At 48.8% G+C, this 26,287-nt stretch overlaps 1 long non-coding RNA gene across 2 annotated transcripts in view, besides 2 other annotated features; it reads right to left on the minus strand.

Moving 5' to 3' along the window:
* Positions 1-4,799: 4,799 nt before the first annotated feature.
* The window catches only part of LINC02074 (long intergenic non-protein coding RNA 2074), a 50,789-nt gene continuing 29,301 nt past the window's right edge, over positions 4,800-26,287 (minus strand). Inside the window, exon 4 of one of the 2 annotated variants that reach the window (NR_184084.1) lies at positions 4,800-7,103. This is a non-coding gene — a long non-coding RNA (long intergenic non-protein coding RNA 2074). The remainder of the gene's footprint in view (positions 7,104-26,287) is intronic. The other variant, NR_184085.1, reaches the window with a different exon arrangement.
* Positions 22,711-23,212: an enhancer, noted in NCBI's record as "H3K4me1 hESC enhancer chr17:72076161-72076662 (GRCh37/hg19 assembly coordinates)". NCBI's record gives its function as "activates a minimal SCP1, AML or CMV promoter by ChIP-STARR-seq in naive H9 embryonic stem cells {active_cell/tissue: H9 hESC(naive)}" and the evidence as "EXISTENCE:reporter gene assay evidence [ECO:0000049][PMID:30033119]".
* Positions 23,213-23,712: an enhancer, noted in NCBI's record as "H3K4me1 hESC enhancer chr17:72076663-72077162 (GRCh37/hg19 assembly coordinates)". NCBI's record gives its function as "activates a minimal SCP1, AML or CMV promoter by ChIP-STARR-seq in naive H9 embryonic stem cells {active_cell/tissue: H9 hESC(naive)}" and the evidence as "EXISTENCE:reporter gene assay evidence [ECO:0000049][PMID:30033119]".

Genomic DNA, 26,287 nt, shown 5'->3' on the forward strand with positions numbered 1-26,287 from the left:
GGCCATGTGGGCATCTTCAGTATGGCAGCCTGAGTCATCAAAGCCTGCCAGCCAAGAAGGCAATAGAAAGACTCTGTAACATGACAGAAGTTATTCTCTCTTGTAACTTAATCACAGAAGGGACATCCCATTACTTTTTCCATATTCTATTGGTTAAAGGCAAGTAGCTGAGCCCATACCCAAGGGGAGAGAATTGCACAATGAATTTCAGGAGAAAGGGGTGATTGGGCATCATTGTAGAGTCTCCCTGGCACAAGTTTATTTACAGGTGTGTCCTCAGGGAGCAGCAGGGAAGGAGAAAAAGACAACTCAAAGACGTGCTGTTTGGAATTGGCCGTGGCTACAGGCACCCAGTGCTCAATCCTGTAAAACTAGGGGAACTTTTTTTTGCCCAGGGAACAAAAGGGGAAAGAATTTAACCATCAATCAGCTACTGACCCCTGAGGTCAAGGGTGGCTCCACTGCTATTAACTTCCCCATGCTTCCAGGCTGCATGTGCAGGGTTCTAGAGCAGGCTCCTAGGACAGCCCACACCATGCTGTCAGAAAGGAACAGGATACAAGGGGAGTCCGGGATGGGACAGGTGCTGAGAAAGGCAATCGGAGCTCGCATAGAACTGGTTGCTGCCTCAGTAGCTGAAGAAAGAGGTCCCCAGAGAACTGAAGCCATGTATGAGACATGTCTGATACAAACCCGTCCCCAGGTGTGTGTGTTTACACAGGCCTCCACCTGGGAGACAGAAGGCACTGCCTCCCTGTGAGCTTGGGGAAAGCTAACACAATGGGGCCACATCCAAATTTAACATTTTCTTCCACCGAAATGTAGCTCTTTGGCTGACCTTTTTCTGTTGATGGCACCATCATCTTCCTCTCCCAGCTTCACCTCAAAGTCGATCACCTCCGTGGATTCTTTGTTCTCCTTTGCAATCCATGCCTTATGGGGTAGGACTGACCAGTCATGTAACTTGAGGACTCAGTGCAAAGTGAAAATAAGGGGCCTCTTCCAAGCATGTGGACCAGTGCGACTGCACAGGTTGCACTTCCCTGAAGCCAGCCCTGCCTGCAGGATCTATAACTTCAGGAGATTCTCCAGTCACATCCTTAGGCTCTTAGCATTCTCTGCTGTGCCTTTCCTCTTGGCACCCCCACCAACTTATGACTAAAGAGTTTTCTACGCTTCTGTGGCCCTGAAAGAATGAACTTCATCCAGGACCCTGAAGGTGACCCTGTTAGTCCTGCTGCAAACTCCATTTGCCATAATGATCTGCCCGAAACGCCACCCTAACTCCTCCCTGCACAGGAGAAGAGTGAGTGAGTGAGTCTGTGGAGATGGGGTATGTAGTGTGCAACCTGCATAGCTGTGCTTAGCAACCTGGAGTCAAAGGGGGACTTGCCAAGAACTAAAAATGGGGATAAGGGGGTCTTGCCACCTTATGTGCCCAGTACTAGTCATAAGAACTGACTCTCATATATCACTTACTATGTTCCAAGTGATGTTTAAGCTCTTTGTACATATTAATTCACTGATTTCATTCTCACAGTCATCTTATGAGACAGTTACTCTTTTTATTCCCATTTTACCGAAGAAGCACTGAGGCAGAGAAATGTAAAAACAAAACAACAACAACAAAACACTTTCCCAAGGCCATGAGACCAGTACCAGAGCTGAGAATTGAGCCCAGGCAGTCCAGCTCTCAAGTCCATTTCCCTAACCACTAACCACACTGAAAGTGAGAGCCTTAGCTATTGGAGAGATCAGGCGTGTGTAGAGAACCTTCAGAAGCCTGACTACCTGATGATGTTATGCACTGTTTGTGGCTTGGAGAGAAAGGTGTGCATCTCATTTGATTTTTTCCTTTACTTTTTGTTGAAATTACTTTGGGAAAGTCTAGCCTATATCAAGAAAGAGACAAATGGGCAAAGGGAGGGAGATGGATGGATGGATGGATGGATGGATGGATGGATGGATGGATGCAGAGATATAGAGAGATATAGATTGTGCAAAATCCAGGTTATAAAGAAAGGGAAGGGGGCTGGGAAAGGGTGGACCCCTAAGCCAGGCTTAACAGCAGCTGTAGAGAACAAAATAAAAGTAAAATTAACCAACCTCCCAAATCAGTCAAAATCCTACCTGATTTCTAAGGCTCAACAGAATTATGTTCCCAGGAAGCCCCTGTGAATCCGATGTGAGATCTGTCTAAGAAGAAGTGGGAGGCTGTGGTGATTGCACTGTTTGTCTCTTTCTAGAAGAAAGGACTGTACACCAGGGCCTGATACCCTCCTGAGAGGTTGTCCTGACCAACAGGGCAGCTGCATTGCTGGGGAGGCAGCAAGCTGGTAAGGTCTCACTTCCCAGAGCAGCAGCTGGTGGGTTGCCATGGGTTCAGGAGTCCTTGCTGACATAGAGTGGTTGCCTTGGGGACGTTGAAAGAGGCAGCCTTCCTGGCCAGCCCTGGTGAGCAAAGGAAAAACATCGGGGTGGGGATAGTAAGAGGAGGATCACAGGCCTTGTGGAGCAGCCCACAAAATCCCTCACACTAGTACTTTATTGCCTATAAGAGATGTGCTGTCTACACAAACTCCCACTAGCTAAGTAGCAGGGAGAAAGCAGTGGGGGTGAGGAGGAAAGTACTTGATTGCAACCCCATGCATTAATCTCCATCCAATTCAGTCACTTGGGTTTGAGTCTCTTGGAGCCTGAGTGGATGAATGGACTGAGGGCAGACCTTGAGATGTGTGCCACATGGGATTGGGTGTCAGTGGGGAGGAGCATAGCTGGCTGTGTTCTCCAGCCAGGAGGGACAGCTGCCCCATACCTCCTGTGACTTCCACAGTCCTGTGTCTTGCCTGACAAAGTCCCTAGGTGGTTTGCCTGGCCATCATTTGTCATTTGCCCTTGCAGCAAGTCACAACGTGGTTTCTCTGACTGCTCAAGACTCAAAGCCCTCTTCCACCACACTCAAGGGGTGCTGAAGGTTAGGAGAGCAGGACCCCAGGCTTTTTGCAGGATGACCTCAACATTGCCCAACCTGTTAAAAAAAAAAAGACGACTAACCACAATGACTGTCCTCCCCAGTAGCCAGCTTCTCAGCAATCCGTCAGCTACTCTAACAAGTATAAACTGAGGTCAGCTTGGGGATGGAAATGTTCAGGCCTCCTTCAGCCCAAGCAGGCTGAGCATGTGAGATGTGACCACACTCCACCTGTAGCTGGGCAAAAGCTTTCCCCTGCCCCTCAGGTCCCATAACCTCCTAGCAGGCTGGTCTCAAGGCCACCTCCAGACCTCCCACCTCCCAAGGCTCAGGGAAGAAAGCACAGCACCTCCCTCTCTATCCTTCTCCCTCCCTTCCTCCCCCACAATCACATGAGCTTAGATGTGGATCTTTCCCCAGTTGAGTCTTCAGATGAGACCCCAGCCCCAGATAATACCTTGACTGTAGACCAGCAGAGGTGGCCTCTTCCTCCCCACAACTGCTCCCTCTATGTAACCAAGAGGCAAGGCCTAAGCAGGGCAGGAGAGGGTAGGGGAACTGGAGCAACACATCAAAGCCAGTCTTGATCTGTTAAATAGGAGCTAAAGAAACTTGGAAAAATTTTTTCCTCTCCTATTATTTTGCCAAGAAATCTCATTTTGAATATCAAAAGCTGAACGTTAGCTCCCTTCTTCTTTCTGCTCTCCTCTGTAGCAACCTCAGTCTTTTTCCTCAAGGCCGCTGGATGCTGATTTAGGCTAAGAAACAAAGGGAAAAGTCTCATTAATACTTTTCAAACGATTGCTCTCTTTCTCAGGTCAAAGCCAGGGAGAGTGAAAACTAGGAACAGTTAGAGATAAAATTTGCTGGACTATGTATTAGATCTAGAAGGCTGGTCTAGCACTTTACTGCTGCCTCAAAGCAGTTACATTCCTGATTTGACAACCAGCACACAGCCTGCTCTTCCTTTGAGCAGGGCAGACCCCATTTTATGAGTGCACCAAGGTTTCTCCAGGTGGAGGGAACAGACTCAAGCTAACCAAGTGGTTGCATGGCTGATGAATAATCTAGGGACTAGCTAAGAGTTGCAGCACAGAAGATGCTGAACAAAGAGCCAGATGATCACATCTGCCCAGGGCAAAGCAACACCTCCCCGGGAAACAAGCCGACACACCCAGATTTGCACTTCTCTTCTTTTCCTGGCACCTCACTGACCGTCCCCTCCTTCATCCTGACGAGGGCAGACGCAGCCATCTCCATGCCAACATACTCTCACCACACTGAAACGTCTACATGTGCAGTTTTTTCCCATGTCAATTGCACTCTGGGTTGGATGTGTCCAGTGACAGCTGCAGAGGTGCTGAGTGCACGGGTAGGTGACAGGCAGCTCGGCCCAGGAAGGTCTCCTCTCCTCTCTGTTCCCATCCATGTTAGCCTTAGAAAGCACATCCTGTCTGTTGTCCTTCTCCCTATGTTTCGACACCTATGCTACCTCTGCTGACTGAGTTACCAATAACCAGGATTAAACATCACCATCCCTGCAACAATGCCAGCTCCTTTTCCTTAAGCAGCTTCTCTGTGCCCAGGTGGAGGCTGGATGCTTTCCATATAGTTCTTAGAAATACTCAGGCGTACTCTTAGGTGTATAATGTTACTCCCATTTCATAGATGTGAAAACTGAGACCAGGATAGAAAAATAGCTGGATCAAGGTCACACCACTAGGAGACGGGACCGTGGTACCTACTTTTTGGTCTGCTTAGGAAACTTTCCTATCAGAAGTATTAAAAGATAATTTTCCTAAAACAGGTGAGATCATGACTCTCATACTTTAACGTGTTAAAGATTTTATTTGACTTAATGAGGGAACCAGGCAGACGTTAACAAAGGAGAAATCTGAAAAGCAGAAATTTATAGGGAGTAAGGAAAGTGGAAATGAATTTACAAATAGACTGAAACTGGCTTTTTCCTTAGGGAAGAGGGTAGTCAATTGAACCGCTGGACAGGATTTATTTGCATGTCTATAGACAAGAATTATTTTGCATTGCTATCAGTTATGTACAACCTACAGAGCCATAAAATAGCTCAAAGACCCTGAAAGGCTAAAATCAGATAACATGCAAAGGTATGCTCAAAACAACCTAGTTTTCCATCGGCGACACCTAGTGATCTTTTTTGCTTATTCCAAATTTCCTTACAGGGGCAAGTCCTTGGCCAGATCTAGGTGATCCTGGTAACTTACAGAGAAAATCATCTCAGCTGATGTGGTCTGGCTAAGGCTGCCAGTCACATAGAGGAAAAAGAAAAGGCAGATCCCCAGTGTTACTCAGCATCTACTACATGTCAGGCACTGCTTCAAATGCTTGGCATATACTAATTCATTCAATCCTCACAATAACCTATGAGAAAGGCTTCGTTGTTGCTCCATCTTATGGATGAGGACAAGAGTATCTGGCCAGCTAAGGAACTTGTCCAAAGTCACACTCAAAGCCAGATGCAAACACGGAAGTCAGATGCCAGAGCTGTTGCTTAAAGCTCTGTGCCATCCTGTCTTACGGAACAACCTGGAAAGAAAAGCAGAGAGAAATAATGATGGGCAATGACAGAGCAAGATTGCAGATGGGGCTGGGGGTGGGTTCTAGCCCCTATGGCTCTGGAACCTTTAGGAGGTTCTAGAAGGTTCTAGAGCCTTTCTTCCCTTGGATTCCTCAAGCAACCTCAGCATCCTTTTCCGGGTACCAAAGACAGTATCTCTGTATCCTTCTGGTGCTTAAGCTCCTTTGAGTTGTACTTTTATTTTTTCATAAAGAATCTTGACTTACACATCTATTAAGTGACAGAACTGAGTTTCAAACCCTCATGTGCCTAAACTGCATAGCTGCGTCTCTCAGTTTTCTCACCTGGAAATGGGACTATTCTAGTACCCACCCTGCTGGATTATTGTGACAGTTGGGTACACTGATTCAGTAAAGCTCTGAAACGAATGCCTGGCAGCTAAAGGTACTCAAGTTATTAAGTCAGTGTTATCATCAGCTCCATTTTGCAGATCAGTACACTGGGACAAAAGATGTTATGGACTTTGTCCAAGATCACTCACCTGGCACTATTTATGAGCAAATGGCAGAGCCAGAAATTGAAACCAAGCAGTCAGCAGAGCCTGTCGGCTTCACGTCGACCCTGGGAGGGCCCTGAAGAAGTCATCTGCCCCCACCATGCCCCCGTTCTGTCCAGAGCTGAGTGGGTGTTCCGGGAGCCTGGGTCAGGCTTCCAGGGCAGAAGGACTCCCAGAGCTGGAGCTGGCTCCTTTCTCAGCTTGCTTGTGAAAGAACCACAGGCAGGTGGGGCCTCCCAGCTCTGAGCTGCAGCGGCCAGGTGAGCACAGTGCTCTGGGGCAGTGGCTCCCACTGAGCCAGGGTCTTATGCAAATGCACCTGCTCCCACCCACCTACCCAGGTGCCTGTGGAGGCGCCACCATATCTCTCTACTTGCGCTGTCTCCAAGTCGTCTTCCCTGCCGTCTCCACCATATGGAGGCATAAATCCAGTTAATGTGTCCAAAAAAGAAAAATCAAAATGTCAGATCTGCAGAGATGGTTCAATTGAAGGAATATTGATTGTCACAGAGAATAGTCTCACTTTATTCACCTACTTAGTCTGCTCCCCTAGGCGCATATGAATTCATCAAATATCGTCACAGCGCATAATAACGTTCATTCCCGCATTGTTGTGACTGCTTGGGCTTTGGTCCTGCTCACCGTGCCTGACTCAGGTGGGGTAAGGCCAGGGGAGGGTGGGAAGGGAGAGGAGGGGTTTGCTGACATGGTTTGGATGTTTGTCCTCTCCAAATCTCATGGTGAAATGTGATCCACAATGTTGGAGGTGGAGCCTAATGGAAGGTGTTTGGGTCCTGGGGGCAGATGCCTCCTGAACGGCTTGGTGCCCTCTCTGTGGTAATGAGTGAGTTCTTCTTCTACTAGTTCACAGGAGAGCTGGTTGTTTAAGGAACTCCTCCCCTCTCTCTCGTTCCCCTCTCACCATGAGACATGCCTTCTCCAACTTTGCCTTCCACCATGAGTAAAAGCTTCCTGAGGCCTCATCAGAAGCCAAGAAGATGCTGGTGCCATGCTTCCACAGCCTGCAGAATGATGAGCCAAATAAACCTCTTTATAAATTACCCAGCCCCAAGTATTCCTTTATAGCAACATGAAATAGATGAATACAGTGGCCAAGGCATCACATCATGGCATTTTACTCAGGACAAGACACTTTGCCATCTAGCATGTGAACTGATCTTCCACACCACCACGTGGGGGAGTCAGGAAGGAGAGAGTTATTCCCAGTTTTCTAGGTTGGATCCGCAGAGTTAAGCAACTCATCCAAGATCATGCTGCTAATAAGCTAGAATTTGAACCTTGGTTTCCAACTTCCAATTTGGGACCCCTTTCATGCCACCTGCCCTTTCCTGTAAATGGTGCGTCTGATCCAGACAGGACTAGAGATGGGTGGAGTCCTCTGGGCTTCTGCATGGCTGTCTGCGCTGTGGATCATGCGTCCACTCTTTGTCCAGGCCTGGACGCAGACTCAAGGAGATGCCCCATAGCTCTCAATGCACGTATTAAAGTGGAAAAGCAGGAGACATGGCTTTTAGAGACTAACAGCTGGAACTGTCAGAATGCCACACTGTAGACTTGACCCATGACCCCTCCGAAACTGTTTATTGAGTTGACATGACACCAGCACAAGGTAAAGGCTGAAGAACCCTGAGAAAGTAGCACAAAACATCACAGGGAGCATCTTAGCCCCCTGAGACCTGCATTTCCTTTTTTGTTTTGTTTTGTTTTTTTTTTTGAGACAGAATCTTACTCTGTCGCCCAGGCTAGAGTGCAGTGGTGCAATCTCGGCTCACTGCAACCTCTACCTCCCAGGTTCAAGCGAGCCTCCTGCCTCAGCCTCTTGAGTAGCTGGGACTATAGGCATGCACCACCACATTTGGCTAATTTTATACATATATACATATATATATATATATATATATATATATACATATATATATATATATATTTTTTTTTAGTAGGGACGAGGTTTCACCATGTTGGTCAGGCTGGTCTCAAACTCCTGACCTCAGGTGATCCACGCGCCTCGGCCTCCCAAAGTGCTGGGATTACAGGCCTGCGCCACAGTACCCAGCCCAAGACCCGCATTTCTGAAACACCAACCAAGAAGAGGGGTCAGGCAGCCAAAGCCCCCAAATGCACTTGTACCATAAGTTGTGGGGTCTCTCCAGGCACCGTCCAGGAAAGCACAACCCTAGAGTATTTAGACCAGCCTTTTTCACAGTGTGTCCCAAGGAACAAGGGGTCTGAAGTTCTGAAACAATTTTGCAGTCAAATAAATTTGGGGAACTTTGGGTTAATTAAAATTAAACAGATTATTTTGATCCAGGGTTTCTTGGAACCTCCATCATCTTGATTTTAATAAGAACAGCCCATGTTGCCTGTGGCCCAATGTGCCCAGCACTGTTCCAATACTAACTCATTTCCATACTGCTATCCCCATTTTACAGTTCAGGAAGCCAAGACACAGAGAGGAGGTGACCTGCCCAAGGCCAGGAGTTCTGGTGTGATGAGACAAGATGAGCAAGCTAGAATCAGCAGCGACTCAGAGGCAGGTAGACAACACAACACTTCCCAAACTTACTCAACTCTGGATCTGCCCCATCCTTTGTTCTGTCCCAGAGCACCTCCTGGGACTCAGGTTCTGTGGAATATTTAAGAACTCTGGTTTAAGCAGCTTCCCTGACCGGCTAGCTCAGGTAGCTATCAGAGCTCTGTTCAACGGCACACCTAGAAGCAAATGCAAGTTGATTTGGTCTCTGAGTAGTGCCTCTTTCTTGTTCCCCAGGGAAGCTCCTGCGCTGTGGGGGGCCTGAATCCAAAGGCAGGAGCCCCTGGGGAAAATCCAAATTTTTGGCTGGATGGGGACCAGTGCTTCCACCTCTCTATCCTCTTCCCTGGGCCACCTTGAAGCAGGGAGCTGAGGAAGGTGGGATGGACTCCACGCTCTTCCTCCTCATCATGCTCCTGGCTGGATACCAGTTCTGGAACCTTCCAGCCAAAGGCAGAAAGGATTTTTCCAGTGGTTAGACTCAGCCCAGAGGAATAGAGACACTAATCACTTTGAGCAGCTGCCCCTCTGTCCCCACCTGGGGCTCAGCCACACCCACCATAATTTCTGACTCGATGTGATGCTTTGGCTGGAGTCCGCAACAGATGCATGGAGTGGGAGATTTTATTCCCAGGAGTCTTTGCCAGGAGATCATCCCTGGGAGGGAGAGGGGAAATGTGGCCTCAATAGAAGAATATCAATAGGAAACCATGGTGAGAAGACATAGTTGGCCAGAGCTGGCGATGGAGTAATTAATTCTACTTAAGTAAAATGTTACTAATAATTAAACGTACTAATTAAGAAAAATTGGATCAGCTGTTGTCAATGTGGCACAGAAGCAGGAGCTCCACTGACACATTCCTTGGGCAGCTTCCCGCTGGGAGTGGATGGGACTAGACGCAGCCCACATGGTCACCTTGGGGCCCAGGAGAAACCAGAGGAGCTGTGAGCTGGAGAGTCCTCTGTGAGAGGAAGCCACAGGCTTGGGGACATGTCTCGTAAGGTGACAAATCCAGAAGGCTAGGGAAGACTCCATGAGAAGGAAATCCAGAATCTGGCCCCAGTATGTCCACCTGTACAAAGCGCAGGAAGTCTGTGCCAGATAGGGACAGCAGAGAGCAGCTCTCAGGCAGTAGAGGGGCAGGTGAGATGCTTGAGAGAGACAGATCCCAGTGGATGGGAGATGAGACAGGCAGAGAGGACAGATCACGAATTAGGCAAGGACAGACATCTGCAGGTCGGCAAGCGAGTCTTCAGTGGTCGTAACTCAGGTGAAGTTGGGAGGCAGCAAAGTGTTATAGCAGGAGCTAGAACTGGAAGACAGACGTACTAGCTAAGGGAGGGTTCCTCAGCCTCGGCACTATGGACATTTGGAGTCAGACAATTCTTTGTGTTGGAGGGAGCAGGGGCCTGTCCCAGGCATTATAGGATGTCTAGCAGCATCCCTGGCCTCTACCCACTAGTTACCAGAATTATCCCCCAATTATAACAATCAAAAATGTCTCCAGACATTGCTAAATGTTTCCTTGGAGGCAAAATCACCCCCAGATGAAAACAACTGAGCTGAATTTTTTCTTTTTTAACCAGCAACTGAACGTCACAAAGGTTTACTGCTTACTCCTCTGAAGAGACCTGCTCTTCAATGGGTTTTACTCCATACAGTCATTCAAGCCCCAGGCTTCCTCCCACTCATGGCTCACTGACCCCCAGCCTCAGGGCCCTCCACTGGATCATTCACATCCAGCTGGCCAATGAGCTCAGGGGCAGTGTGGAGAGATTGAGGGGCCAGGCCTGGAAGTGACTGATATCACTTCTGTCCATGGGCTACTGGCCCCACTTAACAGCAAAGGGTGAACCTGGCTCAGCAGTGGGCAAGGAGGGAACCCCAGATATGATGGACAGCTACCCCCATGCCATGTCAGCTCCTGGTCCTGGCCCTGACTCTGCCATGGATGGCTCCTCTCACCTGGGCCAGTCCCTCCTCCAGGCCTCAGTTTCTTTCTCTTAAAAGGCCCCTTCCATAAACAAAAGGTGGTCTATCCATTCAATGGAATATTACTCAACCATAAAACAGAATGAAGCACTGATATGGGCTACAACACGGATGAACCTCAAAAACAAGCCGCGTGAAAGAAGCCAGACACAAAAATATTTTATGATTCCATTTCTATGAAATATCCAGGATAGGCAAATCCATAGAGACAGAAAACAGGTTAGTGGTTGTCAGGGGCTGGGGGGAAGGAGAGTAGGGAATGACTGCTTAATGAGTCCCAGGTTCCCTTTTAGGGTGCTTAAAAAATATTTTAGAACTACATAGAGGTGATGAATGTACTAAATGCTGCTGAATTATACACTTTAAAATGGTTAATTTTATGCTATGAGAATTTTACCTAAACTAAAAAAAATTAAAGGAACTTCCAGCTGTAACCTTCGGTGAATGCTTAAGATCCAGGCAGTACAGGAACCAGGCTAGGGCACCCAAAAGTAGGAAAATGGGAATCTGTTTTCCCCGGAGACACACCCCAAATAAATAAGAAAACAAAGGCCCCTAGTCCCCACTCTGCCTTTTGAGTCAATGCAATATAAGTGAGCTTTGTAAACTATAAAGCTCTCTATAAATGTAAGCAGACATTATTACTGGGGCATTATTTAGGATCTCATTGTTATTCTGAATGCAGCCAGGGCAGGGCTGGACATGAAGGGAGTGAGCTGCATAAATGCGTGTGTATTAAGGGCAAGCCAGCACAGGGGCTCTAAATGCCGTGGCCCAGAACAGCCATTACTATTTAGGATGATGTAAATTAATAATGAAGCTGCTATTTCTTGCTTCCTAGGTGCCCAACACTACACAACACACCTTCCATGCATCTACTCAGTTAAACTTCTCCGCATTCTTGAAAGGTAGTAGGATTAGAACTGTTTTAAGATGAGAAATAGAAAAGTGAAAGGTTAAATAACTTGCTATATGAGTTATCTATTGCTAAGTAACAAGTTATCCCAAAACTTAAACTGTGGCTTAAAACACAGTTATTATCTCACACTTTCTATGGGCTGGGAATTTGGGCAGAGCTCAACTGTCCTCTGTCTCAGGGTCTCTCGTAGGCTGCAATTGAGGGGCTGGGGTCTCATCTGAAGGTTCAGCTGGGGAAAAGATCCACATCCAAGCTCATGTGGTCATTGTGATTCAGTTCCTTAAGGGACTGAGTGTCTTGGATCCTAGCTGGCAGGTGGCTGGAGGCCACTCTCAGTTTCTTGTCACATGAGCCTCTCCAACATGGCAGCTTGCTTCATGAAAGTGGCAAGCCAAGAAGGCACTAGAATCTAACAAGACAGAGATTGTCATCTGATGCAGCCTGTCATCGAAGAGCACCTCCTCACCTTTGCTGTCTTCTGTTGGCTAGAAGCAAGTCACTAGGTCCAGCCCACACTCTAGGGGAGGGGACTAACACAAGGGCATGAGCACCACGAGGTGGGAATCAGGGCGGGGGACCATCTCGGAGTCTTCCCACCGTGCTTGCCAAAGGTCTGTGGGTGCTAGAAAGCCAAGCTACATGCACCCTGGCTTTGTAGAGGAGGCTCAAGCCCATATCATTGCACTATACTTTCTCCATGTTCTTCAAGGGTAGGCAGGGCGTGGGGGAAGGCAAAGAGGGAGAGAGAAAGAGAGAGACTTTTCTATAGAACAAAAAGATGCATTAAGCTCTTCCTGGCCAGGCTACACTGATGAGGCTGTTCCTGCAGGACACAGCCCAGAGCTAAGGCTGCCCCCAATATTAATGGTGTCCTCATTAAAGTCATGAGCAGGGCTATATTTTAATTGCCTGGCAGAGCCCTGAGCACCTAAAGGGGAGACTTGCCACATCCTCCTCATCATGACTATTAATAGGCTGGGAACATTCAGGGCTGCTCAAGCCCAGGGTTGGCAACCCCCACTCCCTCCAACACAAGCAGCTCAAGTCTTCTCCAGACCTTCTTTACACCAGCCCCACAGACCTGCAGTAACCAAGGGCAACACCTGGCCTTTTCCCCAAGGCTGGTATAGTGTGTGCCTGGAACTTGGTCTTCTGAGCATCTGGGAGACAAGGGTGAAAGACCCAACCCGTCACCACCCAACCTGCTCAAGGGAAGAGCCTCATCTCCTAGCCCTGTCTCCCTGGCAGCCAGCACAGTGCCTGGCAGGTGGGCCTCAGTGCATGAGATGAGTCAGTGGCTGCCCACAGGGGTCATCTATGCAGATGTGGTAGGATGCCCATGAGACCAAGTTTGAGCAGGGAAAATTAGTCTCCACCAGCTTCTGATTTCCCATCTATCTTTGGGTGAGGGGGATGTTTTCAAACTCTCTAATGGCCAGAAGACCAAGGCAGAGGGGAGAACACCTGAGATTAGCAGGCTGAGTGCTTTTGTAAATATTTACCTTCTTGGTGCCCCAGGGATGTAACCATACAAAATGTAACCCTCCCAGCACCCCCGGCTTCCAATTCAGACAGGGTAGAGATGCCATGCCTCAGTGTACCTCCAGGGTTGGAAGTGAACACCTGCCATTGTCCCACCCGCATTTCTTTCTCTAGAGATTGCCAGGTTTTGAAACATAAAAGCTTCTATGCAATCCCCTTCCAGCCATAGAGTGGCGCCATTTGCTCTTCAGCCTCCCTTCCAAGTAAAACTCTTGAGAGATTCCAGTGTGCATTGCTTTCTCCATTCTAGGGGTACCTATCATCAGTGGGTCCAAAGTGAGTTCTCTGGCTGCTTTCTTACTAAAGCAGGGATTAAAAAAAAAAAACATCTTAATATCAGGATCCATTCCACCTCTGACTATATACATGCATGTACATACAGCCTGACAGTCTGTGCCACATGAGTAGTCTAGAAGGCCACCTTTCCTTCCACGGCCTCCCTAGCTTGGACGGGCTGGTAACTGTATCATTCTTATTTGCAAGGCTGGACTAAATCTTGTAGGGCATGTTATCCAATGGCCACAGAGACCTCTTGACTCCTCCAACAGGAAAATGGGCAGCTCCTCCCCCTGAGAAGTCTTGGCCAAGCAGGGTCAGAGCCCCCACACCCTGCCCACCCACTCCCTACCCACTCCTCCCCAGTCACAGGTCTCCTTTCCTCCAAGTTCCAGCATGCCTCCTCCTGCCTCCCTAGGCCCAACTTTGCTGTGCTGGGAGCAAAGAAAGCTTTATTGAATTTTCGCGAGTACTTTGCATGGCATCTGATTTACAATTCATAACCTGGATTATACTGCGAGTTCAGCCTTCCGGGGTCGGTGTAATTTAGATCTTGGAAATATTTGCCGTGCTTTCAATTCCCCTGACATCTAAGGGATTGGAAATGGATTCTGCCCCTGGAGGTTTGCTATTTGGAGGGGCCGATGGAAGGGGGTACAGGGATGAAGACAGCTCACAAAGGGAAGGTGGGGAGCAGTGAGGCGTGAAAACTGAGGTAGGGAAAAGATAAAGTTAAACACCAGCAGGAGGGAATGATCACATGCATGAGACAGAGGGGCAGGGGAGGCCACGTGACCAGGCTCCCTACCACCTGCACGCGTCACCTCTGCTTGTGTGGTGATGGCCCTGGGGACAGGAGTGCTGCTGTCCAGGGGAAGTGCCTTGGCAGCGTGGAGCAACCCACCTTCCCATCCCACCTTCTGGTCCTGCCTCTTTCCCTACCTGGCTGTAAGAGGGGCAAATCCCCTAGACTTTTTCTTTAACCAGTCTTATATAATTCACATACCATACAATTTGCCACTTAAAGCGTGCAATTCAGTCCAGGCATGGTGGCTCACACCTGTAATCCCAGCACTTTGGGAGGCCGAGGTGGGCAGATCACTTGAGGTCAGGAGTTCGAGACCAGTTGGCCAACATGGCGAAACCCCATCTCTACTAAAAATGTACAAAAATTACCCGGGCATGGAGGTGGGCACCTGTAATCCCAGCTATTCAGGAGGCTGAGGCAGGAGAACCGCTTGAACCCAGGAGGCGAAGGTTGCAGTGAGCAGAGATTGCACCACTGCACTCCAGCCTGGGCGACAGAGTGAGACTCCATTTCAAAAATAAATAAATAAAAATAAAATTTGCGATTCAATGGCTTTTAGTGTATTTACAAAGTTGTACACACATCACCATGATCAATTTTCGAACATTTTCATTACCCCAAATAAATACCCTGCACCCCTTGGCCATCACCCCTGTACTAGTTTCCTGGGGCAATTGTAACAGATTAATTATAAACTCAGTGCCTTTAAATAACAGAACTTGGTCCTCTGTCTGTTGTGGAGGCCAGAGTCTGAAATCAAGGTGTGGTCCGGGCCGCGGTCCCTCCAAAGACTCCAGGAGAGAGTCCTTCCTTGCCTCTTCCAGCTCCTGGGGGCTCCAGGCACTCCTTGGCTTGGGGCTGCATCGCTCCAACCTGTGCCTCTGTCTTCACTCGGCCTTCTCCCCTGTGCCTCTGAGGACCAAATCTCTCTCAGCCTTTTCCTTATAAGGACACATGTCAATGGGCCCACCCTAAACCTAGCATGACCTCATCTTTAGGGTCTACCATAAATCTAGCATGACCTCATCTTTAGGGTCCACCCTAAGTCTAGGATGACCTCATCTGCAGTGTCCACCCCAAATCTAGGATGAATTCATCTTTAGGGTCCCCCCTAAATCTAAGATGACCTCATCTTGATACCTTTAACTTAATTATATCTGCTATGAATCTTACAAAAATGAGTCCACATTCACAGGTTCTTCAGGTTAGAATATGGACGTATCTTTTGGGGGAACACACGTCCACCCACTATATTGTCCTTTTGCCTCTGTCTTCCCCAGCCCCTGGCAACCACTGATCTATATAGATTTGTCTATTCTGGACATCTTATATGAATGGAACCATACAATATGCTGTCCTTTGTGATTGGTTTTTTTCACTTAGCACAATGTTCTCAAGGTTCATCCATGTTCTAGTACGTATCAGTATTTCGTCTCTTTCAATTATTGAATAATATGGATATATAACATCATATCTATCCATTCATCAGTTGATAGACATATGGGTGTTTTTTTTTTTTTTTTGGCTATTCTGAATAACGTTGCTGTGAAAATTCATGAACAACCCCTAACCACTTTTTTTTTTTTTTTTTTTGAGACGGAGTCTCGCTGTCTCCCAGGCTGGAATGCAGTGGCGTGATCTCGGCTCACTGCAAGCTCCGCCTCCTGGGTTCACGCCATTCTCCTGCCTCAGCCTCCCGACTAGCTGGGACTACAGGTGCCTGCCACCACGCCCGGCTAATTTTTTGTATTTTTATTAGAGACGGCAGGGTTTCACCGTGTTAGCCAGGATGGTCTCAATCTCCTGACCTCGTGATCCGCCCGCCTCGGCCTCCCAAAGTGCTGAGATTATAGGCGTGAACCCCTAACCACTTTTACCATTAGCGAAATAGTGAGAATTTCATATTTGTCTTCCCCAAAACCCAGCGTTAGGATGAGTACGGCAGGCAGCTTCTAGAATGGCTCTGAGTGTTCTCCCATCTCCTGGTATTCACGCTCTTGTGTAATCCTCTTGCCTTGAGCATGGGATGGACCTAGTGACTTATTTCTAAGAAACAGAATATAGCAAAAGTGATGGGATGTCACTACCAAGATTAGGCTGTAAAACACTGTAACTTCTGGCTTGCTCTCAGTCTCTTGCTTGATCACTTACTTTCTCTGTTGAATCAACCTGCTATGTTGTAATCTTTTCTATGGAGAAGCCCATGTAGCAAAGAACTAAGGACAGCCTCTGGCCAAGAGCCCTCTAGGGACTAGGGCTTGCCAGCAACCACATGAGTGAGCATGAAAGTGAATCCTTCCCCAACCAAGACTTCAGATTAGACTGAATCCCTAGCTGACAGCTTGATTACAGCCTGGAGAGACACCCTGAGCCACAGCACTCAGCAAAGATCACCAGGATTCTTGACCCTTAGACTGTGAGAGGATATTGTATGTGTGTTGGTTTAAGCTACTCCATTTTAGGCTAATTTTTATGCAGTCTTAAATAAAGTGAAGACAGAAGAAAAGATACTCTTGGGAGACCCTGAGCTGCCAGGATGGTGGATCAGGGATGAGCTTATTGGGAATGACACTTAGCCCAGATGACCTGATGTTGAAAAGTCTTGGCTGCAGACATCCCAACACCAAAGTCTATTAAATGATTTCATTTTCTTCTTTGGGATGGAGGAGAAGTGCTGAGATAACCAGAGTGAAAAAATCAGATGTGATATGCCATCTTCCTCCCTCTGAAGCTACAGAGCCCTGAAGGCATGGAAGGCACGGAAGTTGAAGGAAGGAGCAGTGGTTAGCTCCAAATTTGCTCAAAAGCACTACAAAGAGTAGAGTTGGGTCAAGGAACTAGAAATCTGGGCTTCCAGGACAGTGCTCTTTCTAGTGCACTAGATTTCCTAAAGGGCAAAGAAAGCACATTATCTGATCCAGAAAAGACTGCTTAGGGTGGCCGAGAGGGTGAATACCTGAGGACAAGAAAATATCAAGGCTTAATGGCACTATCAAAGTGTTAAAATTTTATTACAAAAATGGCTCTGACCATATCACTCATCCTACATGGTCTTCTCACAATGTGACTTTGCCACTTCCCCTATCAAAAAGGAAAGTCAACATCTTCCCTGAAACCTAATCAGACCTTAGTGACTCCTTCAGCAAAGTATAGCAGGAATGATGCTACATGACTTCCAAAGCTAGGTCATAACAGGTGACACAGTTTCCACTTGCCTCTCTTTTGGGATGCTTACTCTTGGAACCCAGCTGCCATGTTGTGAGGAACCCCAGGCCACACGGAGAAGCCATGTGTAAGTGTCCTGTCAGACAGCTCCAGCCAAGGTCCCAGCCAATAGCCAACATTAACTACCAGACATGAGAGTGAGGAAGTCTTTCAGATGACTCTAGCCACCATCGGAATAAAACCACATGAGAGAACCCAAGTGATAACTGACTGGCTAAAACCAGTTAACCTCAAAAATCATGAGGAATAGTAATAATTAATGATAGTTGTATTAGTCTGTTCTTGCCCTGCCACAAAGAACCACTTGAGACTGGGTAATTTATAAAGAAAAGAGGTTTACTTGGCTCATGGTTCTGCAGGCTGTGCAGGAAGCATGACTGGGGAGGCCTCAGAAAACTTACAGTCATGGTGGAAGATGAAGAGGAAGAAGGCACGTCTTACATGGCTGGAGCAGGAGGAAGAGAGAGAAGAGGGAGGTGCTACACATGTTTAAACAACCAGATCTCCTGAGAACTCACTCACTATCACAAGAACAGCAAGGGCTAAGTCTGCCCCCATGATCCAGTCACCTCCCACCAGGCCTCTCCTCAAACATTGGGGATTGCAATTCAACATGAGATTTGGGTGGGGACAAAAATCCAAAGCATATCAACAGTTGTTTCATACCACTACATTTGAGTTTGTTTGTTACATACCTACAGGCAACCCAAACCAAGCAATAATGCTATAATCATGAAGATGATCTATAGATAGATAAGCTGATAGATGGATTGATGGATCAATGGGTGGATGGATGGATAGATGGATGAATGGATGGACAGATGGATGAGGAGGTGGAATAGGGTAACAGAGAGACATCAAATCAGTACTTACTATGTGTTCATAGTAGTCATTGACACTAGACCAAGGGATTTATTGACATTATCTCTTTTTTAATTCTCACAACAATCTTATGAAGCTGGTATTCTTATTCCCATTTATAGAAACAGTAACTTAGATTTAGAGAGTTTCAATAATGTTCCTGAGGCTACACAGCTAGCATGGAGTAGGTTCTCCTGACCTCAACGTCCATGATCATGATACGTCTGGTGTGGAGCACAGGTAAGAGTGTGAAACTGAGAGTGAACGTAATAGAAATTCTAGGCCTAATTAACTCAGGCAGACCTTAACTATTCATGACACCAGCCTGACCTCTTTTCTGGATGCCTCACTTCAAGATTTTATCTGGAGTACATGTTGCTCTTTATTCTCCTGCTGAGGACTACAGAAAAGCCTATTTTTTGACATAAGAACAAGGAACCTAAGAGAGAAGCCTCCCTCCTGTGCTGTCTTTTGTTCTGGAAAGGCAATGACCAAAATGGGAAGAGCTGTTTTGCTGGTATTGTTGTTGTCATGATGGTGATGGTGATGGTGATGGTGGAGATGGCCATGATGATGGTGAATGGTAGTGAGTGGTGGTGGAAATCGTAGTAGTGATAGTAATGATGGCGATAATGGTGATGGTGGTGATCATAGTGATGGTGGTGGTGGTGATGGTAGTGGTGATGGCTATGGTGGTGATGGTGGTGTAGCAGTGGTGGTGGTGGTGGTAATAGTGGTGGCGGTGGTGGATATGGTAGTGATGATGGTGTTAATGATTTTGGTCATGATGGTGGTGATGATAATGGTGGTAGTGGTGATGGTGATAGTAGTGATGGTGGTGGTGATGGTAGTGATGTTGGTGGCGGTAATAATGATGGTGATGGTAATGATTTTGGTCATGTTGATGGTGATGGTAATGGTGGTGGTGGTGATGGTGATACTAGTAATAGTGGTAGTGCTGGTGGTGATAGTAGTGATGGAGGTAGTGGTGGTGATGATAGTGCTGGTGGTGGTGATGATGGTAGCTGTGGTAATAATGGTGGTGGCAATGATGGTGATAGTAGTAATGGTGGTGATGGTGGTAGTGGTGTTAGTGGTGATGATGGAGGCAACAGTGGTGGTGATTGTAGATGTGGTCATGGTGATGGTGGTAGTGGTGTTAGCAGTGATGGTGATAGTGGTGATGATGGTGGTGGTAATGATGGTGGTGGTGGTGGAAATGATGGTGGTGTTGGTGGTAGGCATGGTAGTGTTGATAGTGGTGTCAGTGACGATGGCGTTGGTGTTAGTCAAAAGCCATGGACCCTCTCTGCAGAAAAGGGAGGCCTCTGGCCAGGATCATGCCAAACCCTCTCCTCTAAAGTCCAACAAAAGGAGATGGGCATGGTACTTGGCATCCATAGAATAGAGCTGATTATATAAGGCCCTTCCAAACTCTTCCAGCAGCCAAGAGCCTCAGAGCTATTGACACTTGCCTTCTCTCCTATGTTTGTTCTAAATCTGGCTCACTGTGGCTCAAGAGCTATTACTGATTCTAAGTTAAAAACCCAATGCAAATGGAGGGTCCTTGTAAGTTTAACACATCACTCCCAAGGCTCAGCACAGTGCCTGGCCTATAACAGGCCCTTGATACACATTTATGAACAAACAAACCCTTCAGCAAGCTATAGTTTAACTGAGGACCAGAAATATCCACAGTTGGATTCAAAAGTATTTCCTGAAGCTCTCAGGGAGGAGTATCCTAATCTAGGAGTTGGGAAGCCTGGACCTCCCTTAAGAGAAAGATGGCTTCAGAGTCCTTCTAACCATAGACATTGTGCCTTAATCACATTATTCAAGGATGCATAAACTGGCTGCTGACTAAGCCTTTTGTGTGGCCTGGAAGAAAACAGATTTTTTGAGAACTTACTACAGTAAAAAGTAATAGTTAATGTTTCTGATGGCTTGTGATGTGCCATTTAAAAACCACACAAATTTACTTATTTGAACTCACAGCAACCCTATCATGCATGGGTTATCATCATCAATCATCATCATCATCATTTTATGGAGGAAAAACTGTAGACAAGACACACGAAGAACAAGCAAGCTGCCCACAGTGTCACAGCTAGCCAAGCCAGAGCTGGACAAATCCCAGGCAGTCTAAGCTGCTAACCACTGTTCAACCTGGCCTCTTGCCTTCCGATGTTTGCTATGAGCCTGGCCCTGCACTCTGCATCTTTCTATGAGTTGTTGCATTCCATGATGGCTTCAGTTCTATGCAATAGGTGTGCTACCGAGGTCTTGGGAGGGAGCAGTTGGCCTACTTAGAGGTGTGATGGGAGAGAGTCTGATATGGTTTGGCTGTGTCCTCAGCCAAATCTCATCTTAAATTGTAGCTCCCATAATTCCCACGTGTTGTGAGAGGGACCCAGTGGGAGATAATTGATTCATGGGGGCAGTTTCCCCCCTACCGTTCTCATGGTAGTGAATTAGTGAATGAGTCTCACGAGATCTGATGGTTTTATAAGGGGCTTCTGCTTTCACATGGCATGTCTTTATCAGCAGCATGAAAATGGACTAATTGGACTCTGTATTAACAGAGTCCTGATGAAAGAACCATTGACAATGGTGTAACAGGCTAAGGAGATCCAAGGAATGTGGGTGTCGCACCCAGCGCCCAGCCAGAGAGGGAAGCCAGTATGCCCCTAGGACTGAGTGGGTAAAGGAAGAGCTTGGAGACAGAGGGGACTATAGGGGAAGGCCTTGACAGCTACTGCCAAGCCACTGCCTGGCCTGGAAGGAGCCAGGACCCAATGTCGTCACTTCTCTCATCTTACCCTCTGAGCTCTGTCACTGCCACATCTGTGCAAGCCAGAGCTAAGGTCCTCAGAGACCAGCCTCCCAATCAGAGCAGGTGGAGAAGAAGGGAGGGTGGTCGGCAAAGTAAACGGACACCTTCCAGCACAGCCGAGGCTAAGAAGTTGAGACTAAGAAACTTTACGCAACTTGCCCAAGGACACAAGCTTGGAGGTGAGAAAGCCAGGTGGACTTCAGAATTCTTCCCAAGGCTGCCTCTGTGGCCTGAGTCACAGTGAAGAAGGCTTTCGTGTGTGTACATTGGTGTAAATGATCATCAGCCAGGCTGCCAGCAGCCTCCGCAGTGTTCTCATAATGGGATTTTAATTCGCTTCCCCCATCGTCCTGCTGAGCTGAGAAGCGCTCCTGTTTGTCTACTTCTTGTTAGGCTGCTGCTTCAAAGCAGAAACAGGAGGCAGTCCCTCTGGTCCACTTGCCTTTCATGCTCTTTGGGCCAAACCCCTTTCCTCACGTCCCCCAGCAGTTTCCACAAATGCTGCCATCCCGCCTGTAGCCAGAGAGGAGAAGATACACAGAGTGCATCTTTGGAAAGAGGAGAGGACCTGACCACAGTCCCGGGACACTGACCAGCAGCCTGGCAAGAACAGAAAGTGGCTGTCTACCCTGAGCCAGGCTTTGGAGTCTAACAGAACCGGGTTCCCAGTCTTCCCCATATTGGGAAGCACCACCACAGTCACCCAACTGTTCAGGACCGAAGCTCGTGTGTTCACTCTTGACTCCTGTTTTTCTCACCCCTACATCCAACCATCACCAAGTCCTTTCCAGAGAAGCAATCCCACCAGTCTGTGTCCATTCTTCTGACAGGCTGGGGTTGACTTCCGTTTCTTTGGACACTCTAAGTGGAATTCCTTTTATAATGGATGTGTTCCTGCAAATTTGGGCTTAAACTGCATTTTTGTAAATTGAACCCCAGCATGCCATTGGCTTACCCAAGCTCTCACTGAGGTTGGCTCCCCAGGGAATCCTAATACTTTAACCCTATCTCTACCGCTGGAAGACTCTAGAATTTTCCAAAAGGCATTTTGTACTGACCCACTCATGTTCCTGGTCACGGGTTGTTCCATGGGTTTTAACTACTGTGCCACTTATTGAGCTCCTAGGAGCAGTTCCCGGGGCTGCCCTGTAGGCAGCTTCCATTGGTACTGATGGAAATGACTGTGCTGGCTGCACTCCACTGGACTCCCCCATCGTCCCCTCCCATTGCCCTGCCAAACCATGCTCTCTTCTCCCCTCTGCTCTGTGCCTTGGAAGGGTGACTTCTCCAGGCTGTGTCAGCTGGGCCCTTTTGTCTCCTGCCTTCTAATTGGGTTTGGCCTATCAGAGGCACTGGCAGGAGACAGAGGGCAGGAGGAGGGAGCGATGGGGGTACTGATTCCACCCTCTCCCTCCCTCCCTGCTGCTGTTCTGAGAGCAGCTGTTTCTACCAGGGCCATGGTTCCTGTTGGGTGGCTCCCTCTCCATGGCTCCAGGCTCCGATACCTCCACTTATTTTCCTTGTCCCTTTGGACCTAAAGGTGGCAAAGCCTCCCCACTCTTGCTGGCCCCTGGATCCTACACCAGGGGAGCTGGTTTCCTTAACTCTTCTCACAAATCTATAAATGGCCTCTTTAGTAAACTGCCTTTGCTGGAACCCCTCAAGGATACCATCTGCTTCCCGCCGGGACCCTGCCTGGCACAACGACAGTCATGACGATGATGTTGCCATGCTCTGAAGCTCAAAAGCCTGACTCCCAACCCCCACCCAGGGCCCTGGGTAACTCACTTTTAGCCCCAGGGTAAGTTGGGAGGAAGACTAGATGCCTCCGAGGAGTCCAAAAATGCCAAGGTGGGGCAGGCACCCCGAGGGCAGGGCTTCTCAGCCTCAGCACGACTGGTATTCCGGGCCAGATCATTCTTTGCTGTTGGGGTGGCCGGGGCTGTCTTCTACACTGTAGGATATTTAGCAGCATCTGTGGCCTCTACCCACTTGATGCCAGAAACACCCCTTCCCAGTCACGATCATCTCCAGACATTGCCAAGCATCTCCTGGTGGGGAGAGTACCCCCTGGTTGAAAACCCTGACCTCCAAAATGGTGGGGCATGAGCTGAGGGCTAGCTGGGCTGGTTTGCTTCTTAGGAGAAGCACAGAGCAAGCATGGGGAGAAACCCAAGAATGGGGTCCTCGGCCAGGCAGAGATTCCATCGCGGCTCCTCCCTGTGCCTTTCTAGCCTCAGCAACTGGGCGGGACCAAGGCTTGGCGAAACTCACTGGTCACCCTCAGCTCGATGCCCTGCTTGGCCCTGCTGCCTGAGCGCAGGAGTCCAAAAGGCACCACTTGGCTCTCTCCTGGCCCTCCCACCACTCACCCACACTCTCCTCCTCTCCCCTTACCCGCCTCAAAATGATTCTGGGAGGCAGCTGGCAGCAGGGGAGTACAGCTGCCGCTAAGTTATCCAAACGATTTATCTTAAGATTCATGCAGAATTCATTGTGTGGGGACCAGGGTGGGTTGTGCTTTAATATTCATGCAGATTTGGAAGAAATGTTAATCACGGGTTTGGGTAATTTGCACTTTTGCTTAATTCTCCTCCTCCTAGGCTCAGTTGGCTGCCCCGCTAGCCCCCTCACTCCTCTGCTCCTGGCTCCTGCGCCCTAGAGTTCTTCCAGCCCACCGTGCAGCTGGGGTGGACTCAGAGGTTGGAGGGAGGGTGCTGAGCTGCTGTTCCCCTGGTCGGACTGGCCCCACAGCACCTCGGGGTGGGGAGCGGGAGACGGGGTGGGCAGCGGCGGGAAGAGCTGCAGGAGCCTCTGGGACATCTTGACGGGAAATAGATAACCTGCTGTAGCAACCAGATATGTGCAAATTAGCATTGATTATTCTCAAATTAACAGCTTGGGCATTTCAAACCCAAAACAAGGCCTCAGCTCTGCTCTGATCTTGCCCTCCCTCCCAGCTCCCAGCCCGGACTGTTACCCCCTCCCCACAATGACAACCATCTGGGCCTGATCAGGGTGAGAGGCAGGCTTCCTGGGGGAGGGGACCTGGGGGGTTTCCAGCAGATCTCATCGCCTTCTTACCCCTCACTTGGACCTGGGGCCTGAGTACAGGGGCCCAAAACAACTGGCACCCTCTGGCTGCTCCCTCCCAGCCCTCGCACCCCTCACCCGTGCTCCCCTCCTCTCCCCTTACCACCTCCCAAATGATTTTGGGAGGCAGCTGGAGGCAGGAGAGGAAGAGATTCTTCTGAAAATTTTCCCTGGTTCCCACTGCCCAGTATAGCCAACTCCACCTCCTCAGCCCTACTTTCGGGGTCCAAACCCCTGGAAATCAGGGGTTTTGAACCAGGGGGAGCTTTGCCCCCCCGGAGATGTTTGGCAATGTCTGAAGATGATTGTGACCGGGAAGTGTTGCTCTGGCATCAAGCGGGTAGAGGCCATGGATGCTGCTAAGTATCCTACAATGTGCAGGACAGCCCTGGCCACCCCAACAACAAAGAATGATCCAGCCCAAAATACCGAAAGTGCTGCGGCTGAGAAGCCCTGCCCTCGGGGTGCCTGCCCCACCTTGGCACCCTTGCTTTTCCTCAGAGGCACCTAGTCTTCTTCCCAACTCACCTGGGGGCTAGAAGTGTTACCCAGGGCCCTGGGTATGAACCCCACATACATGGAGAAGGGGGCTTAGGACTCAAAGCCACACCCCATGAGCATGTGTCTCACTCTCTTCCAAGTGAGGTGGAGACAGCTGGAGGGGGCCCAGGAGCCACAGCAGAAGAACGCTGGAAAAGCCCTGAGTGCCCCAGGCAGAGGATCCAGCGCTCAGAAGGGGCTGCTCTCTACACTCCCCTCTCCATTTCAAGATAAGAAAAGTCGAGTCCAGAGAAGCAAAGCCACTAGGCCAAGGTTACACAGCTCATTAGTGGCAGAGGGAGCTCTGAGTTCAAGTTTGCCTGAGGCCCAATCAGATGGCTGCAGCATCAGAGTCCAAGCAGAAAACAGGCACCACTCTGAGTGTCTAAAAGGGGGAGATTTATGCAGGGACTTGATTGCACAGGTGAAGGAAGAACTGAGAAGGGGATAGGGAGGCAATTTGGGAATTAGCAACAGTGGGAAGCTGCTACCACCTCAGGCTGGAGGACAAACGGAGGAGAAGGCATCAGTGGACCCCACAGCCAGGTCCATCGTGGAAGCTGGTGGATCTATCTAAAGAGAGCAGAAGCAATGATGAAATCCAGCAATGCTGGAAAGGAGGAGGAAAAATACTCTAGCTTCTCCCTCCTGCTTGCTCCCATCTCCTGCCGGGACTTAATGTCCAAACCAGTCAGGAGCCAGCTGCCACGGTCAGCCCCTCAAGGTGCTAAGCAGAGCAGGAGCATCGAAAACGGGTCTGAGAACCAGCAGGCAATTGACCAGCACAAGAACTTCCAAACCAAATGTTGTTCCCCTCCCTCCCTCAGGCCTTGCCGGGGACTTGTGAAGAGGAGGGTGAGGAAGAAGACCCAGGAGGAGAGGCACCACAGGCCTGTCCCATGCACCGGAGTCAGTGGAGACAGCGCAGCTGAGTTGAATAAAAAGGGAGCTAGGGGCTGGGGGTGTTGAGAGTTGGCTCTCTCTCCTCCAGGCCCATCCTCCCACCCCTGCTGGGATCTGGTCAGCTTCCAACCCCAGCAGCCGGTGTTACCTGCCACTGCCTGTCAGCTTTCCCCCCACCACGCAGCTGCTTCTATCTTGGCCCAGAATGATAATCAGGGAGCCACAGACACAGAGAAAGTGTGGCAGCAGCCCAGATGGCCGCCCCTTCCCCTACCACTCCCTTGCTATGAAGACTGGGTGTCCAAATCCCTAGCGCCCACCCCCACTAGACACACTTATATGCATGCGCGGGCACAACATACCAAGGTGTCCCAGAATTAAAGTTCCCTGGGAAGGCTCTCAGACCAGACCATGTCAAAATGCAACAGAATATCTATTAAAGCAGGGAGTCAATGAGATGCTCATTGAAGGGGGGCACTTAGAAATAGTCTCAGCCCCTTCCTTATCTAGTGGAGGAGAACTCACAGCAGCATAGCTGACCTTTTCCAAGAGGGAACCCCTTGAAAGCTACAGGTGTATGGCAAGGAGGCCACCACCTGTTGCAGGTAAAGGGTATAAACTGTGACATGCCCTGAGAGCCCCGGGATTCAGAGGTCACTTGG

Source organism: Homo sapiens, chromosome 17 (assembly GCF_000001405.40).
Source record: "Homo sapiens chromosome 17, GRCh38.p14 Primary Assembly".
NCBI lineage: Eukaryota > Metazoa > Chordata > Mammalia > Primates > Hominidae > Homo > Homo sapiens.